Consider the following 18,789-nt stretch of genomic DNA (forward strand, 5'->3'; position numbering starts at 1 on the left):
ACACTCAAAACAGTTAGATTTAGCCAGGTATGGCAGCAACTCATGACTGTAATCTCAATGCTTTGGGAGGCCAAAGCGAGAGGATGGCTTGAGGCCAGGAGTTTGAGACTCGGGCAACATAGCGAGATCCCATCTCTACAAAAAATAAAACTAGCCAGGTGTGTTGGCATGCACCTGAAGTCCCAGCTACTAAGGAGGCTGAGGCAAGGAGGACTGCTTGAGCCCAGGAGTTCAAGGCTGCAGTGAGCTATGAATGTTTGGTATTCCAAATTTTCAAATGTACCAAAATTATCAATGTACTAATACATATTGGTGCTCCATTGTGGCTGTAGCTGAATTATGTGATTTTTCCCGTTTCCTAAACTTTCATATATTTTGAAGTTTAAAATAAAAATATCCATGTGTGTGGTTTTACAAGTGAATACCCCCTTTAAAAAAAAGCTTGATTTGCAGTTTTTCGCTATACATAAGACTATAGTAAAAAAAAAAAAAAAGATAGAAACAAACCAGAGGTAATATAATAGTGCTTGATTAAAGATCTGTCAGACAGAAAATAACCGAGGATAGGCGGTTCAAACAACATACAACTCCTTTTAAAGGATTTTTAAAATTTTTGCAGCAAAAACTATTTCAAAATGATCACAATAATTTTGAGGTATGTCCTTACTTGGCTTAAGTCTGGACAAAAATATTTTAAATGTGTGCTTACAGAACATGGGCAGAACTATTTTTGATGGATTACTCACTTCTGAACATTGTTCTTATGATCAAATAAAAATAGGATACAGCTAAGCTTTAAATATTTGAAGGTAGCTTGTTTGGACTAGACAATACCTAACTGGCCAGCCTACAAGGAATTGGTAGGTATACAAATATACAATTATTCTACATACTGTACATTTGTATGTGATTAAAATCCTTTTTAAAATAAAATACTTCAGAAAAATTAAAAGACCATTAATCAGTTTCTAGGCTGTCCCTTTCCATTTATAATGACACAAAAATATTGCTACTAATTTTGCACAAATTTAATATGGAAATATTTTCAACAGAATAAGACACAACAATGAAGGCTTCATGAATAATTTATTCCATTTGAAGTTTTGTTTTTTGTTTTTGTTTTTTTTTTTTTAAAAAGTATAAACCTTTTCATTTCCTCAATCACAATTTGTACAACTCAGTGTTATGGCATTCGGCAGCAATAGTGTTTGTTCCTTATTCTCTTTTTGTCACGTTAAAAAGAAAAGCAATTGGACCATATTAAATGTCACTGCTAAACAACAACTTTAAAACGCCCCTTCATAAAGTGACCAAGCTATTTTGAGAGGGTTGATGCTGACATGTCCAGTAATGACGTTACAATTTGTAGCTTAAACTCAATAACTTTAAGGTCCACATATCCAGTTTACTTTGAAAACTAAAGATGTTTTAAAACTTCATGAATACATCAACCTGAGGAGTATTTTAGGTCCCAAATCCAGTTTTTAAATTTATACTCCACAAAAAAGAAAATACATACATAAAAATTTAAACCACAGTTCTGGGCCCATTAAAACACCAAAAAAGACCCCCCAAAAAGTTAAGATTTCCAGCTTATTTCTGGAGGGGTGGGACAAAATAAGAATGTATATTAAAAACATTTTTCCTTAATTCAGACAAACTAAAATCTTAAGAGGAAACCCAGACCAAAATATCACTCATGCAACATTAAGTGTATTAACTGATTGATATGCAATGCCATAGTGGATGAATAGCAAATTATATGATGCAATAGCATTTAAAAACTTTTTAATCTATTCAATTTGAACATTTTAAATAATGCAACATAGTATTCTGATATTACAGTATTAACATAGTGCTTGATTAAAGATCTGCAAATCTTTGTAGTAACACATTAAGTTAAAAAATTACCTCAGAAGGTAAATATGAAGACGAAAGGAGAATATTTTAATACAGTAATCTGTGCCATACTGACAATTGAGTACGAATACAGCTGAGGATAGTTGACTAAGTAGTAAGAGCTTAATTTTAGTGGTTTAAGAAAAGTTTAGAAATATTTAAAAATTACAGCTACTTTAAAATTTAAGGATTACATATAAGTACACTTGGTGGCCTTCTGGCCAAACAATAAGGTGTACAGAAATTTATTCATACAGTGTTAATTCACAGTCCTGATAACTCAATGGCTTGCATAAGAAAGGTATGGCTAGATGTTTCTCACTGGCTGGAAGCAGACATTATATAACTAATCTTTTTAAATGACAAAATACTGAACTTCCACCCTGCTTAATAATCATGGATACCTGCACAAAAAAAAAGATGTTAGCACTGTAACAAAGAAGTCAAGGTGTTGGTAATCCACTGCTATAAAGTATAATATTTTGCTTACCTATTTAAACAAAACTACCCATATTTGTCTGTGACAGTACATTAGTAAGTCAAATCCATCATCCTGCACAAGGCTTAATTTCTCAAATAAGTCTACTGAGCTTTTCTAATGGTTATTTAATAACTTTCCATTGAGTTTGAATGGATATATGAAGGGAAGAAAAAAAATCTTATCAATAAATCCTGTATATTTGGGAACTATTCCCTGATTCCCAAATAAAAAATAATTGTGTACTGGGTTCCCTCCTTATGGCTCCATATTAAATAACCTGTCAGGGAATAATTTTAAATCTACTTTCAAATTGAGGTGTGGTTATCATAGGTTAGTGATTTTAAACAACTGAGAATATAACTTTTATTTTGTAAAGTCACTATTAAGTGTATAAAAAGGATACTCTTTTTATGGAAATTCCAAATAAGCACATTTTCCTTCAAATCTCAGACAAGTTTTTTTTTTTTTTTTAAAGAAAGTACAGAACAAAACATACCAACATAATGTGTGGTGTATTAGCATAATTTAAAAACAAATGCAGAGAGGTGATCTTTAAATTTAATATCAAAATATGCTGACCATTAGAACTGCATTATAATTTTGAAGAAATGATTGACAACCTTTGTCACCAATTGTGTTTGCTTCATAGAAAAAACAAGACTTGCTAATGTTTTCATATACACAATCTGAAGAAGTTATGTTGTTCATAAGAAAGTGATATTTAATTCTAAGCACAGAGTATTCACAAAAACAAGTTTCAGTAAAAAAAAAAACTAAAACAAACACTGAAGTAGAGTTTTGTAAATACAACTGATTTTGTCCTTGTAGATAATTAGTGAACGTACAAATAGAAATTTTGCTAGACTGCTTCCAAGAAAGCTAGGTAGACTCGGCGACTGTGAATTCAAGTCAGCAATGCAGGTAGGAGGCGAACTTGGGCTCTTTTGTGAGCAGCACTGTAGAAAGGATTTTTCAAGGGGGTACAGCCTGCATAAAAGCAGTTATCTTGGCATGTGCAAACAAGAAGGGGGAAAGTTGTATTGAAGGAGGGGTGAATTAAAGTCCCTAAAATTCAAGTCCCTTCTTTAGGGAGGTGAGAACCTCCTTGGCATATGCCCTACCTTAATCTGAGCTGTGTTATAGAAAAGTACAGACTCTGGTGTTTGGGACTGACATCTCCAAACCAAGAAAATTAAATAAATAAAAAAGGCAAGGGAAGTTTAAAAAATGGTTCTTTCACTAGTGGAATAGAGTCTGAATACCAGAATTCACTGAGAATCTATTTACACCACAGTTTGATTGCGCGCACACACACACACCCATACATATGCATACTCTCACATACATTCCCAATCTTTAATTTAAAAAAAAAAGTCAAACAATCAAGAATGACTGCTTGAAAAATAATTTGTAAAATGCCTAGAGCTGGGCTAAATTTCAACCTTATAGCAGATCCTGAAAATAAATTTCATAATAATATTTCCATGCCTAAATATGCCACTGTTAAAACTGAAAAAAATTTAAGCATGTAACATTAAACACTAAAATTAGTTTAAGCATTCAGTAGCAAATGGTTTTTCTTGTAAAACTAAGTTTCTTTCACCGGAAATGGCCTGAAATATTAGTCATAGCCCTAAACCATAGTACAAAATATAACTGAAGAATTCTCATTTTATTCTAAGTTAAACCACCTAACAATACCACTTGTATATTGCCATCATGTTATTCTGTAAAGATGTGATATATAAAATGCTGTAAGACCTGGTACCTTTTCAATTTATAAACACAGTGAACTTCATTACTGTACATGTACTCTGCAACTACAGCTTAGCTGTAAATCCTCCACACACAATGGTATGGACATTATTCCCCCTCTATCCCCGTTAAACTGTACATCGAGACAATACAAATTTACTGTCCCACCCACCCCCTTACAAAAAAATAATACTCTAAAAGCAACCCTACTGCAACTTTTTAATTAAGACGATTACATATATTTTAGACCAATTGCTTTAAAGCAAGAAGGCAGTATAAACCTTCTAGGAAAATTTTTATAAAAGAGGTTAAGAAATATAAGACAATTTATACATTTAAAAACTTACAATAAATAAGAGAAGAGATGCAGGCATTTTTGAATACTAGATACTATAATCCATACAAGAACATCTTCATGTTCTGAAGCCATATGTTGAAATTCATTGTTCCTCATGTTTCCTCTCCATGCTTTTAATATTCATTTAACATGACTGGGTACTATGGCTCATTACTTTTCACAAATACTGTGACTGGAAAAAAAAAAGGTTAATTTTGCTACGAAAATGTTATAATACGTTTTGTATGATCAGTCATCATCCTAAAGAGTTCAATAGAGTCAATGAAAAATAGCAGGGTTATAGCCCCTCCCCCCAAGTCAAAACAATATTTGTTGAAGTAATAAGAATTAGACCCCATCACAAATGACCTTCACTGAGAAGATAATTGTAACTTAATCCTGCAGCGAAACATCCATTTTTCCTTGTTCTTTTCTTGCACAGTTCCATCAAATGAAGATCACAGCATATTCATAATAAAGTTATATAACTGATTCAGCACCACAAAATGAATTGGGAGACATGAGCGTCTGTCCTGGGTTGCAGGGTCACAGGTTAGCCAGGAGAGTGCATTGTACTGTTCCAAAACAAACCTGAAAAGCAAATAAACTGCATAAGTCATTTATTTATTTCCAACCTAGATTTTGGAAGCAGTTTTCAATTATGGCATTTAAGACTCAAAGTCACCTTAAAAAAGAGTGTAACAGAGAGTCCTTGAGGGGAAAGAAGCAATTTCCATAAAAATTATTCTCAAAAGTAGATTACTCAAGTTAGAATAGCAGTGTTTATCTAGAGATCCACTGGTACACAACTGTAAATTCTTGCCAAAAATGAGAAAAATATATAAGAATCAACATTATATTCTTTTAAAGTTGCAGTGACAAACTGTTAATGGTAAAAGAGTTGTACCTGAGGACATCTGAAGTCTGATTTGAGTCAAGTGGGTGGGAGTGTTTACTGTGAAGCAGCTCGTCAGATTGCACTGAAGGCACGTGGAGGTGCAAAGAGGCCTAAGAAGGTAACAGGTAATCAATCAGTCAGCCAAACAGAAAATAATCTGCTATTTAGTTTTACCTTATTCTCCCAATATATCTTATAAAATGATGAAATACATTTTAGTCCTATGTTATGAATGAAAGCCACTATAAAAATGCTTGTTCTCTTTTAACTAATTCATTATAGAAATGTTTTTTTTTTTTTTTTTAAGTAGGGGCAGGTTCTTGTTCTGTTGACCAGGCTGGTCTTGAACTCCTGGCCTCAAACAATCCTCCTGCCTTGGCCTCCCAAAGTGCTGGGATTACACGCATGAGCCACTGTGCCTAGCCAGAAGTGATTTTTAAGTGCAAAACTTACTTTGAATCTATTTCCTTTTCTTTAGCTTTATTGTTTTTGAGACCATACAATAATCCTTAGAAAAAGAATTTCTAATTACCTGCTAAGTCTAATTTGCCTAGATGTGCAAAGTAAATGTTTAAGGAGGCACTAAATTGAGTAGTTAAACCTGAGTAGTCTGTCCTTAAGATATATGACACCCTTTATGACTACGCAGACATACCTACGTCTAGCACTGAAAAAAGTAACAGGAATAAGCATAAGCAAATAGTTTGGTTACAGCACAATAAACCTTAAACAAGCTATCTTCGGTTGAACTGAGAACACTCTAAGTAATACAGTGCACAGATGCCTGCTTTGCCCACTCAATTTCATAATAGAGGGTAGGTAAAAACTGGCACACTCATTTAGATATGGCAATGAATAGTGGGAGAAAGGAATAAACTACTCCACACTCCAATTAAATGAGTCATTTTTTTTATAAGTCAATATAGTATTAAAAAGCTATGATAAAACAATGGTGATGTTCACTGCAGTAACTCTTGGTAGATCTCATTCTGTACACTGTATAAGGTACTATTTTATATTTAGGTGTTCTCTCCTCTGCAACTGCAATACATATAGAAACTCATGTAGTACATTTAGGAATATAACCAAAAATAGCTATGTTTCAACTGTCTACAAACTCTTGATTTATGGAGTTATAAGCAAGTCTCACACTGCAAATCACTACAAATTTTTAAAATGTAATTAGTACCAGTACTCTATTCCTATGATAAAAAGGGATCTAGCTAACAACCCATTATATTTCCAAGCAAAGAGAAACAAACCAGGTGGCTTTACTGCCTACAGTATAAAACTAAAATAAGATATATGAAAAAAAAAAGTGAACAAAAAGTATGGTAAATTATGCCTTAGGTGATAGTTCATAACCAGAAGTCCTAATCTTGTTACAATGTATCTAAGGGTGAATGCCCGCTTTATACTATCCTTTCTGCAAATAAATACTGAGTAGGAAAAGCTCTAGATAGTCCCTTGGACTTTTTGTAAAGTTGTGTTTCCTGAACACATCCCCTGAAACACTAAGATAATAAACTATTAACAGGTGTTAAATAATCCTTTCCTTGTGTATTAATAAGTTTGGGAAATGCTAGGTAAACTATCTTATTTACCTCTGTTTTTCAGACTTTAGTGTGCATACATGTATTATGACTAGAAAAGAGGACAGATAGCATGTGTAGCACCCTCCCAAAGGACCAAAGAATCCTTTGTTTTGTGGAGACACCAAAGACTACTAGTATATAGAAAATCCCTGACCTCAGGTGATCTGCCTGCCTCAGCCTCCCAAAGTGCTGGGTTTACAGGTGTGAGCCACTGCACCCGGCAGCAAGTATTTAAATTAGCATGACTTGTGGATTAAAAACAGTCAACTTCCGGTGGTTTTACATAAGAATAAGTGAGTCACGGCCGGGCGCGGTGGCTCACGCCTGTAATCCCAGCACTTTGGGAGGCCGAGGCGGGCGGATCACGAGGTCAGGAGATCGAGACCATCCCGGCTAAAACGGTGAAACCCCATCTCTACTAAAAAAATACAAAAAATTAGCCGGGCGTAGTGGCGGGCGCCTGTAGTCCCAGCTACTTGGGAGGCTGAGGCAGGAGAATGGCGTGAACCCGGGAGGCGGAGCTTGCAGTGAGCCGAGATCCCGCCACTGCACTCCAGCCTGGGCGACAGAGCGAGACTCCGTCTCAAAAAAAAAAAAAGAATAAGTGAGTCACATCTAAATTTGTTATTCTGGAACAATATTAGCAGCAGTAATATAATTCTGTATAGGGCTTTTATATCTCATTTTGTGACTTATCTCCACTTCATGTTACATTGCTTACTAACAAATTCGGTTTTGTTTTTTTGAGAGAGGGTCTCCTGTCACCTAGCTGGAGTGCAGTGGCATGATCATGGCTCACTGCAGCCTCAACCTCTTGTGCTCATGCGATCCTCCCTCCTGCCCCAGCTTTTCATGTTATTAGGACTATAGGCACATGCCACCATGCCTAATATTAAAAACTTTTTAGAGAGACAAAATTTCACTATGTTGTCCAGGCTGATCACAAACTCCTGGCCTCAAGTGATCCTCCTGCCTCGACCACCCAAAGTGCTGGGATTATAGGGGTGAATCGCTGTGCCCAGCCTGAGTTTGTTGTAATAAATCACGATGAATCTGAGAGTCTCATTACTGTATTTAAAAACCACTCAGTTTTTTTTTAACACAGCAATCTACACACAGCTAGAAAAACTTTTTTAAGTAGTAAATGAAACTAAAAATCAAGTATTACAAAGATTATAAATCTTTTTTTTGTTTGTTTGTTTTGAGATGGAATCTCACTCTGTCACCCAGGCTGGAGTGCAGTGGCGCGATCTCGGCTCACTGCAACCTTTACCTGCCGGGTTCAAGTGATTCTCCTGCCTCAGTCTCCCAAATAGCTAATTTGCACGTGCCACCACGCCTGGCTAATTTTTTTGTAGTTTTAGTAGAAACGGGGTCTCACCATGTTGGCCAGACTGGTCTCAAACTGCTGACTTTGTGATCCACCTGCCTCAGCCTCCCAAAGTGCTGGGATTACAGGCATGAGCCACTGCGCCCAGCCCAAGATTATAAATCTTTTATTCCCCAAAATAATGCAGCATAACAGCAGTGCAGTATGATGTAATTCAAAGAATAACATAATAATCATTAAAAGACCCAGGTTTCAGTCTTGAGTCTATTACCAATTTATGACTTTAAACAGGTGAGTTTTTCTGAACTTAAATATGCTCACCTAGAAAATGAGAAGGTTAGACAGAGGTAATATAAAGTTTCTCTCAGCTCTAAATTTCCATATATGCAGTTGAAACAGATTGAGCATCTCCAATTTGAAAAAATCCAAAAATGGAAACAATTCTGGTCCCAAGCATTTCGAATAAGGGATACTCAATCTACACTAACAACAAGGGCCCTAGGAGTTTGACTTAGGAATAAAGTTCTAAAAATATAAATTTAAAAACTAGTTGTTTTTTTTTTTTTTGAGACAGAGTCTCAGATATTGTCACCCAGGCTGGAGTGAAGTGGTACGATCTCGGCTCACTGCAACCTCTGCCTCCCAGGTTCAAGCGATTCTCCTGCCTTAGCCTCCCGAGTAGCTGGGACTACAGGCGCCCGCCACCACACCTGGCTAATTCTTGTATTTTCAGTAGAGACGAGGTTTCGCCATGTTGGCCAGGCTGGTCTCAAACTCCTGACCTGAGGTAATCTGCCTGCCTCGGCCTCTCAAAGTGCTGGCATTACAGGCGTGAGCCACCGTGCCTTCGTGATCTTGTTTAAAGAGTCACATATGGCAGTGCATTTAAGAACTTAGACAAGCTATAAGACTTAAAAAAGCCACTTCTATATTTCTCAGGACTTAGGCTGTCAATCAGAATTATTTAGGAACTGGGACAGAAATGGCAATACCTTAAGAAAAAGGGGACACTGATATTGTGCTTGAGGACATGCTGACCAGAACCAGTCAGGTAATGGACCTGCTTTGGCAGTTGATACAAAGTAACCAAGGGCCAATGGTTGCTGAAGAATATTAGGTACTTCCTCATGAGGTTCTGTTGATAGTAGCCGATCAGTACTCTGACCCTTAAAAAGACAAAATTAAAAGTATATTAGTTCACTCAGTGTAACTAAGTACCAGATATAAACACAGAATGGCTCATAGCAATCAGTCTCATTATCTTATGACATCGATTTAATAAAATACTGAAGGATATTGAAAAAAAACCAGTTTCTATGTACTTAGGAGTATTATAAGTAAAAGCATTAATAGAACATATTTTAAGGATTGCATGATATGCCAACTGTTTAACAAGTCTGTATTATTATGCCAAGTTCACGGGAAAGTTTGTAAAACTTCACAGATGAGTAAAAAATACAAAATTTTCAATGACATCTTTAACTTTTTTGCTAATATTCCTTTAAGTCCTGAAAACCACACCCCAATCAAAAGGTGGATTCAATTTAGCTTTGTTAATCTAGCACTATCTATAAAATGCAGTTAATAGTGTTGTGAAAATTATTATGGCAACATGAAGGGACAACTACCAAGTCACATGCATATCCTTTGGATTAGTTAATGTATTTCTTGGTATTTAAAAATAGATAAAATAAAAATAATATGCATGAAAACGTTCATTACATCATTATCTATAACAAAAAAAAATCTTACATGTCCAATATTTTGGGAAGGACATAAATTAGGGTATAGCAAAAATGCAATATTTAAAACCTCATTATACTTATTGAAAATTGCAACATAAACGTATGTGGAAAGAAGATAATTTGCTTAAAAGTAAAAATGGTTTTATTAAGGTGGTGGGATTACTGGTGCTTTTTGTTATATGTATTTCCTATCTAATTTCTTTGCAGTTACAAAAAGGAGGAAGGAATGCAAAGTAAGACTGGAAAGATCCTTCCTTACTTTAAAAGGGTAAATTTTATACCTATGCATACTACAATAATCAAATCACCAGTATATATAATTTCTTTTCTTTTTTTTTGAGATGGAGTCTCGCTCTGTCGCTTAGGCTGGAATGCAGTGGTGCGATCTCGGCTCACTGCAAGCTCCACCTCCCGGGTTCACACCATTCTCCTGTCTCAGCCTCCTGAGTAGCTGGGAGTACAGACGCCTGCCACACCTGGCTAAGTTTTGTATTTTTAGTAGAGATGGGGTTTCACTGTGTTAGCCAGGATGGTCTCAATCTCCTGACCTCGTGATCCGCCTGCCTCAGCCTCCCAAAGTGCTGGGATTACAGACGTGAGCCACCGCGCCCAGCCCAGTATATATAATTTCAAATAGAGAGGTGTTATTAACTGAAGCCCAGTTCGTTTTTACTTCAAATATAAGGACAAGACAGCCTGCTTCCATAACTGCTAAAGATAAAAAGGGGGAGTAGATGGTCAGTGTTTTATCTGGTCTTATGAGAAAATTAATATTTTTATTATATTCCTTGTCACAGCCCTGATATGAATGGCTGCTCTTAGAGTTATATATAGTGATTCTGAAAGATACTGTGATCCTACATCTGAGTAAAAAGCTATGGTGAACTGCCACAAAAACTACAAAAAAATGACTAATGCCAAATGGTCTAGAAAATACGGATTCAGGGAAAGTAGAGCCTTAGAGATTCTCTTAAAAATGTGCAATTCAAAGTACTGATGTCCATGATGTAGAAATGCATGAATGTACTGTTAATTAATCTCAACTCTTGCTAATTTCCAAGGAAAAATAGTATTGCATTTCATATATTAATCCATTACTAAGTTAAGGAATGGCAATTGGATGATCTCGGCTCACTACAACCTCTGCCTCCCAGGTTCAAGTGATTCTCTTGCCTCATCCTCCTGAGTAGCTGGGACTACAGGTGCGTGCCACCTTACCCGGCTATTTTTTACATTTTTAGTAGAGATGGGGTTTCACCATATTGGCCAGGCTGGTCTCAAACTCCTGACCTCGTGATCCACCTGCTTCGCCCTCCCAAAGTGCTGGGATTTTAGGCGTAAGCCACTGCGCCCGGCCGAGAAAAACTAAAACTTGTAACACAGTTACCTTGCCCGCATCACCTCCATGGGGGTAATGAGATCCTGGAGAATGTACAGGAGAACCAGTTGGAGAAGCAGGAAGGATATTAATGATATCAGGGTCAAGATCATCTCCTGTGTCTAACAAATCAAAGATACCCATTCCATCTGCTCCATCTAAACAGGAGAAAGAAAAGAAATTTAAAACTCCATTTTCCATATCCTATGGTCATTCACAGGAAAGGGTCAAAATAAATGAAATTTTAACCAAAATGGGTTAATTTAACCAACATTTACTGAGTGTCTACCATGTGCCAAGTATTGTGCTAAAAGCCGTACAAATAATTATGCATAAACAAGCATGTGGTAGTCTGAATAATGGCCCCCCAAAGATGTCCACATCCTAATCCCAGGAATCTAAGAATATGTTACCATAAAAGACTTTGCAGATGTGATCAAGCTAAGGATCTTGAGATGGGGAGATTATTCTGGATTATCCGGGTGGGTCCAATGTAATCACAGGGGTCCTAATAAGAGGGAGGCAGTAGGGTTAGAGCCAGTGAAGGAGATGTGATGACACTATACTGCTGGCATCCAGGATAGAGGAAGGGACCATGAGCCAAGGAATGCAAGTAGCCTGTAGAAACTGACAAAGGCAAGGAAACATTTTCCCTTAGGACCTCCAGAAAGTAATCAATCCTGCTGATATTTTGACTTTGGCCCAGTGAGACTGATTTTGGACTTCTGACTTCCAGAACTGTAAGATAAAATAAATGCGTGTTGTTTTAAGCCACTAAATGTGTAGTACTTTGTTAGAGCAGCAATAGGAAACTAATACAAAGCAAACATAGTACAAACAAAATGAAAATGTGTTTAAAGTGGGACTACAGTATTCCCCCTTATCCATGGGGAATATGTCCCAAGACCCACCCCCATACCCACATAGATTCCTGAAACCAAGGATAGTACCAAATCCTATATACTGGTTTTTCCTTTACGTACACACCTATGATGGAGTTTCAATGATAAATTAGGTACAGTAAGAGATTAACAACGAGAATATTAGAACAATTATAGCAAGGTACTATAATAAAAGGTATGTGAATGTGGTCTCTCTCTCTCTCTTTCAAACTATCTTATTGTACTGTACCCATGGGCAACTGAAATCATGTAAAGCAAAACCAAAGATAAGGAGGATTACTGTATTTACGAATAATACCATGTTCTTTATTAAGTAAAATATTCGAGTTATTATATAACACACGAAAACAAGAGAGCATAATAACCATACTTGTGACTTTAGAGATGTGAGAGTTTTTAAGGTAGCTCAGAATAACAATAAAATCTTCTTTATTTTCTCTTCTACTAAAATGCAATCTATAAATTCACCTGGAAAAGCTACGTCCCTACTTTGGCAGTTTATATAAATTACATTATTTTGGCAAATCAACATAAGAGATATATAAAATGAGTTCATGTACAGGTACCTCAAAAGCACAAGGGTAAACCTATACAAATATTTTGTGACCAACTATTGCCTTTTAAAATAAGTAAAGATGGCTGGGCATGGTGGCTCATGTTTATAATCCCCGCACTTTGGGAGGCCAAGGTGGGTGGATCATTTGAGGTCAGGAGTTTGAGACCAGCCTGGCCAACATGGTGAAACCCCATCTCTACCAAAAATACAAAAATTAGCCAGGCATGGTGGCATGTGCCTGCAATCCCAGCTACTCGAGAAGCTGAGGCACGAGCATCGCTTGAACCCAGGAGGTGAAGGCTACAGTAGGCTGAGATCGTACCACTGCACTCCAGCTTGGGAGACAGAGTGAGTGAGACTCTGTCTCAAAAAATTTTTAAAAAGTAAAGATTTATGGGATAATTCACAGCACCAGTTCTGATATCAACAAGGTGAAAGAATGATTGTATTAGTTTCCTGTTGCCACTTTAATAAGTTACCACAAACTGTTGGCTTAAAAACAACACATATTTATTTTCTTACAGTTCTGGAGGCCAGAAGTCTGAAATCAGTTTCGTTGGACTGCAATCAGGATGTTGGCAAGGCTGAAAGGGATAATCTGTTTCCTTGTCTTTTTCAGAGTCTAGAACTATATTCTTTGGCTCATGGGCTCTTTCACCATCTTCAAAGTCAGCAACATAGCATCTTCTCCCTTTGACTTTGCTTCCCACTGTTTCCACCACATGGCTTTCTTCTCTTCTATGTAGTCAAACCTCCTTCTGCCTCCTTCTTATAAGAACACATGTTATCGCATTAAGGGCCCACCTGCGTAATTGAGGATAATCTCTCCATCTCAAGATCCTTAACTTATCACATCTGCAAAATCATTTTTTGGTAAAACAAGGTAACATTCACACGTTTCAGGTATTGGACATGAATTTATTTTGGGGGGTATTCTTCAGACTACCAAAATGGAACAAATTACGTACCATTGTTGGGATTGAAAGCTAAATCCAAATTTTCAGTGGTATAAGTAGCTGAAGCTACTTGCACAGAAGCAGAAGTAGGAAACACAAGTATATGAGTACATGATGTATCCTGTGGGGTATTTAGCTGAGATGTCTGCATATTTAGAGTCGTGCTTCTTCCAAATACAGAACCAGTTGACACAGAATCTGAAAATGAAAGACATTTTTTCTTTTAATAAACGAAGAATAAATTGTATATAATACTTAAAAACTTAACTGCATAAAGAATTAAATCTGATATAAACTAAAGATAGCTAACCTGGCATAATAACAAAAGAGCCTTGCGGCTCCATTGCCACCAAGCAAGCACTGAGAATGCTAGGGGAGTCTGCAGCAGATATACCACACATTCTACACATGTCTTTGAGCCTTTTACTTAGAGACTGCAAGTTTCGACGACTCAGCAAACAGCTCCAATCTGTGGGTATCAACAGTAAAAAAAAAAAAAAAAAAAAAAAAAATCAAAGTAACAGCATTATTAATATCCTGTAGAACCAAGTTAAAGTTAAAATATAAAAATAGTTAATGGCTTTTAAATTAGTGTATTCCTCCAACACGAGTCATCATCAAGCCAAAATTCTTACTGCTGATGCTACTGAACATTCTTTATCCCCCTAATATTAGGATACACCAAATTCAATTGGTATCTGCTCAACAGAGGATGAGTTAAATAACAATCAGAAAGTGGAAAAAACAGAAAACAATTAAGAACAGCAGTAATAAGACTGATATTAAAGTTAAAATAAGAGTAAAATGTCTTTTTAAAATTTGAATTAAGCCATTTGTGGCCTAGACATATGTGGTTCCTTATTTGATAACCTTTGCATTTTATTCAACATATATACCTAGACGTGGTCAGAACTGTGTGTGAATTTACATAAAACGGAAATATAAATACTAATAAAAGCACAATTTTACCTTTCAATTCTCCATGACCAATCCTTCCTAGACGACCAATTACAACTCTCCATGGCAATGAACTCATTTGTACAAGTCCTAAGCACCACTCCCAAAGTTTCTGTAGACCAAATTTTCTAGCAGAACTTTTTTTCCGACGAGCCCTATTGTGTGAATAAAGAGAGTGTCATAAATATTTCTAAAATTTATATGATTTTGCTGTTGTTGTTTTTTTGAGATGGAGTCTCACTCTGTCACCCAGGCTGGATGGAGTGCAGTGGTGCGATCTCGGCTCACTGCAACCTCCACCTTCACGGGTTTAAGTGATTCTCCTGCCTCAGCCTCATGAATAGCTACAACTACAGGTGTGTGCCAACACACCCAGCTAATTTTTTGTATTTTTAGTAGAGACGGGGTTTCACCGCGTTAGCCAGGATGGTCTCGAGCTCCTGACCTCGTGATCTGCCTGCCTCGTCCCCTCAAAGTGCTGGATTACAGGTGTGAGCCACCGTGCCATCCCGACATTTTAAGAGAGCTCAAATTTGTGAAAAACAGATCTCCTTAATTTTAGTGCTTCACAAAACCTTTACGTAAGTCCTAAGCGAGAATATTCATAAAATCATAGGTTTGGCATCTGAGTTTGCTTTTCTATTTCACATTATAATATATAAATTTTTAAAAAAATTTGTCTATAAAACACCTCAATTCATCAGCAATACTGCTCTACGCCAGGGATTTTTTGTTTTTTTGATGGAGTCTCACTCTGTCGCCCAGGCTGGAGTGCAGTGGCACAATCTCGGCTCACTGCAACCTCTGCCTCCCGGGCTCAAGTGATTCTCCTGCCTCAGCCTTCCGAGCAGCTGAGATTACAGGCACACACCACCACGTCTAGCTAATTTTTGTATTTTTAGCAGAGAGGGGGTTTCACCATGTTGGCCAGGCTGGTCTCAACTCCCGACCTCAGGTGATCCTGTCTCAGCATCCCAAAGTGTTGAGATTACAGACATGAGCCACTGCGCCTGGCCCAGTAAACTTTTTATTTTTTTTTTTGAGACGGAGTCTTGCTCTGTCGCCTAGGCTAGAGTGCAGTGGCATGATCTCTGCTCACTGCAACCTCCGCCTCCTGGGTTCAAGTGATTCTCCTGCCTCAGCTTCCCGAGTAGCTGGGATTACAGGCGCCCGCCACCACACCCGGCTAATTTTTGTATTTTTAGTAGAGATGGGGTTTCACTATCTTGGCCAGGCTGGTCTAGAACTCCTGACCTCGTGATCCGCCCGCCTTGGCCTCACAAAGTGCTAGGATTACAGGCGTGAGCCACCCTGCTTGACCCAGCAAACTTTTTTTAAAGAGCCAATACTTCAAATGGAAATAGCCAGATTTGGTCCATGGGCTGCAGTAAGCAATCCCTGTTCTATACTATAAGTTGAAGACTGACCAAAACACCACACTTCTCAGTCCAAACAACATTGTTACATGTTTTCTGCATACATGTCCTTCACTAGCCAAATATGCAACATAAGCACTCTTTGGCTGAGCAACAGTGGCTATTACTTTTTTTTCTTTTGAGACGGAGTCTCACTCTGTCACTCAGGCTGGAGTGCAGTGGTGCGATCTCAGCTCACTGCAAGTTCCGCCTCCTGATTTCACGCCATTCTCCTGCCTCAGCCTCCCGAGTAGCTGGGACTACAGGCGCCCGCCACTACGCCCAGCTAATGTTTTGTATTTTTAGTAGAGATGGGGTTTCACTGTGTTAGCCAGGATGGTCTCGATCTCCTGACCTTGTGATCCGCCCGCCTCGGCCTCCCAAAGTGCTGGGATTACAGGCGTGAGCCACCGCGCCCAGCTGGCTATTACTTATTATTTTTTTGACACGGAGTCTAACTCTATCACCCAGGCTAGAGTGCAATGGTATGGTCTCGGCTCATGGCAATTTCCACCTCCTGGGTTCAAGCTATTCTCCCGCCTCAGCCTCCTGAGTAGCTGGGACTACAGGCGCGTGCGACCACACCCCACTAATTTTTGTTTTTTGGTTATTTTTGAGACAAGAGTCTCGCTCTGTTGCCAGGCTGGAGTGCAGTGGTGTGATCTCGGCTCACTGCAACCTTCGCTTCCTGGGTTCAAGGGATTCTCCTGCCTCAGCCTCCCAAGTAGCTGGGACTACAGGCGTGTACGACCACACCCAGCTAATTTTTGTATTTTTAGTAGAGACAGGGTTTCAGCATGTTGGCCAGGATGGTCTTGATCTCTTGACCTCGTGACCTGCCCACCTTGGCCTCCCAAAGTGCTGGGATTACAGGCGTGAGCCACCATGCGAGGCCTAATTTTTGTATTTTTAGTATAGACGGGGTTTCATTATGTTGGCCAGGCTGGTCTCAAACTCCTGACCTCAGGTGATCCGCCCACCTTGCCCTCCCAAAGTGTTGGGATTACAGGCATAAGCAACCGTGCCCAGCCAACAGTGGCTATGACTTACTGAGCACTTACTATGTACCATCCATTGTGCCCAATCAATTTACATGTAATACCTCATTTCATCCTAACAACTCTATGAGACAAATAAAATTATCCTCTAGACTTTACAGATAAGTAAGCTGTATCTCAGCTGCATAAGGGTAGTTTTTCCAAGGTCAGTAGTGGCAGGTTTGGGATTTGAGCCCAGGTCTCTCTGACTCCATCACTGCCCCTCTTTTTTTTTTTTCTTTAAGACAGACTTTCGCTCTTGATGCCCAGGCTAGAGTGCAATAGCACAATCTCGGCTCACTGCAACCTCCGCCTCCTGGGTTCAAGTGATTCTCCTGCCTCAGCCTCCCAAGTAGCTGGGATTAAAGGCATATGCCACCATGCCTGGCTAATTTTTTTGTATTTTTAGTATTTTTAGTAGAGTCAGGGTTTCACCATGTCAGTCAGGCTGGTCTCGAACTCCTGACCTCAGGTGATCCACCTGCCTTGGCCTCCAAAGTGCTGAGATTAGAGGCATGAGTCACCATGCCCAGCCCCATCATTGCCCCTCTTAACCATTATCTCACTTCTACTTTATCAAGGTAGTAAAATGATAATACTATTTTGATAATGAAAAGGGTGGTATTTTTTTTCTCTACTTTCTCATACTTCACAGATTAGCATATTCTTTCCCGAGTTCACTTAATCAGTATAAATATCCAATTAAAAAAATCAAAATTGTATCAAGGAAATAAGATACGAAGCACTGTTCTAAGGTTTATAATATAAAGCTTAACATACTTGTTAATGTTTATAATCAATAATATAAAATTAATGTTTCTATCTTCTGCTTCCCCAGCACCATTAAAGACCTAATAATCATTAGATATTTCTGCATATATTTAACTTCTCACCTAAAAAACAAGCTTTTATATAATAAGGAAGAAAATAAACGATAGAACCCAAATCTTTTTTTTTTTTTTTTTTTTGAGACAGGGTCTTACTCTGTCGCCCACGTTAAAGTGCAGTGGTGCAATCTCAGCTCACTGCAGCCTCGACTTCCTGGGCTCAAGTGATCCTTCTGCCTCAGTCTCCCGAGTAGCTGTGACTACAGGTGGGCCACTATGCCCAGCTAATATTTGTATTTTTGTAGAGACGGGGTTTCGCCATGTTGCCCAGGCTGGTCTCGAACTCCTGGACTCAAGTGATCCGCCTTGTCTCAGCCTCCCAAAGTGCTGGGATTACAAGCAGGAGCCACCACGTCTGGCCAGAACCCAAATCTTAAAACTAAAAATCATTTCACGAATTTGCTTTTCAGGTTCTCCTGTACAGCGTTCACTAGCCTTGAAAACATGTTTCAAGTCTCTACTAAAGGCTTGAAATGTTTATTAAGTGATAACTCAAAATGAGGCTCACCTGTTGTGACCTATTAGTTATATCCTTCGTAAATAACTGGGCGTGATATTTACTGCCAAGAATTCTAAAATGGTCATCATATTCTGAAGACAACCAAACTTTTTTTTTTTTTGAGACAGAGTCTCATTCTTGTCACTCAGGCTGGAATGCAAT

The 18,789-nt window shown here is 38.1% G+C and overlaps 1 protein-coding gene across 4 annotated transcripts in view; it reads right to left on the reverse strand.

Moving 5' to 3' along the window:
- MED13 (mediator complex subunit 13) overlaps positions 1,068-18,789 on the reverse strand; it is a 122,674-nt gene continuing 104,952 nt past the window's right edge. For 2 of the 4 annotated variants that reach the window (NM_005121.3, XM_011525553.4), the window contains 7 exons: positions 14,802-14,944; positions 14,143-14,301; positions 13,845-14,030; positions 11,428-11,576; positions 9,288-9,461; positions 5,380-5,480; positions 1,068-5,063 (listed from right to left, as the gene is read on the reverse strand). In NM_005121.3, coding sequence (NP_005112.2) covers positions 4,931-5,063; positions 5,380-5,480; positions 9,288-9,461; positions 11,428-11,576; positions 13,845-14,030; positions 14,143-14,301; positions 14,802-14,944 — 1,045 coding nt within the window. In that variant the 3' untranslated portion in view covers positions 1,068-4,930. Of the gene's footprint in view, positions 5,064-5,379; positions 5,481-9,287; positions 9,462-11,427; positions 11,577-11,900; positions 11,927-13,844; positions 14,031-14,142; positions 14,302-14,801; positions 14,945-18,789 lie in introns of those variants that run through there. The other 2 variants (XM_011525551.3, XM_011525552.3) reach the window with 2 other exon arrangements.

This window comes from Homo sapiens, chromosome 17 (assembly GCF_000001405.40).
Source record: "Homo sapiens chromosome 17, GRCh38.p14 Primary Assembly".
In the NCBI taxonomy this organism is placed as follows: domain Eukaryota; kingdom Metazoa; phylum Chordata; class Mammalia; order Primates; family Hominidae; genus Homo; species Homo sapiens.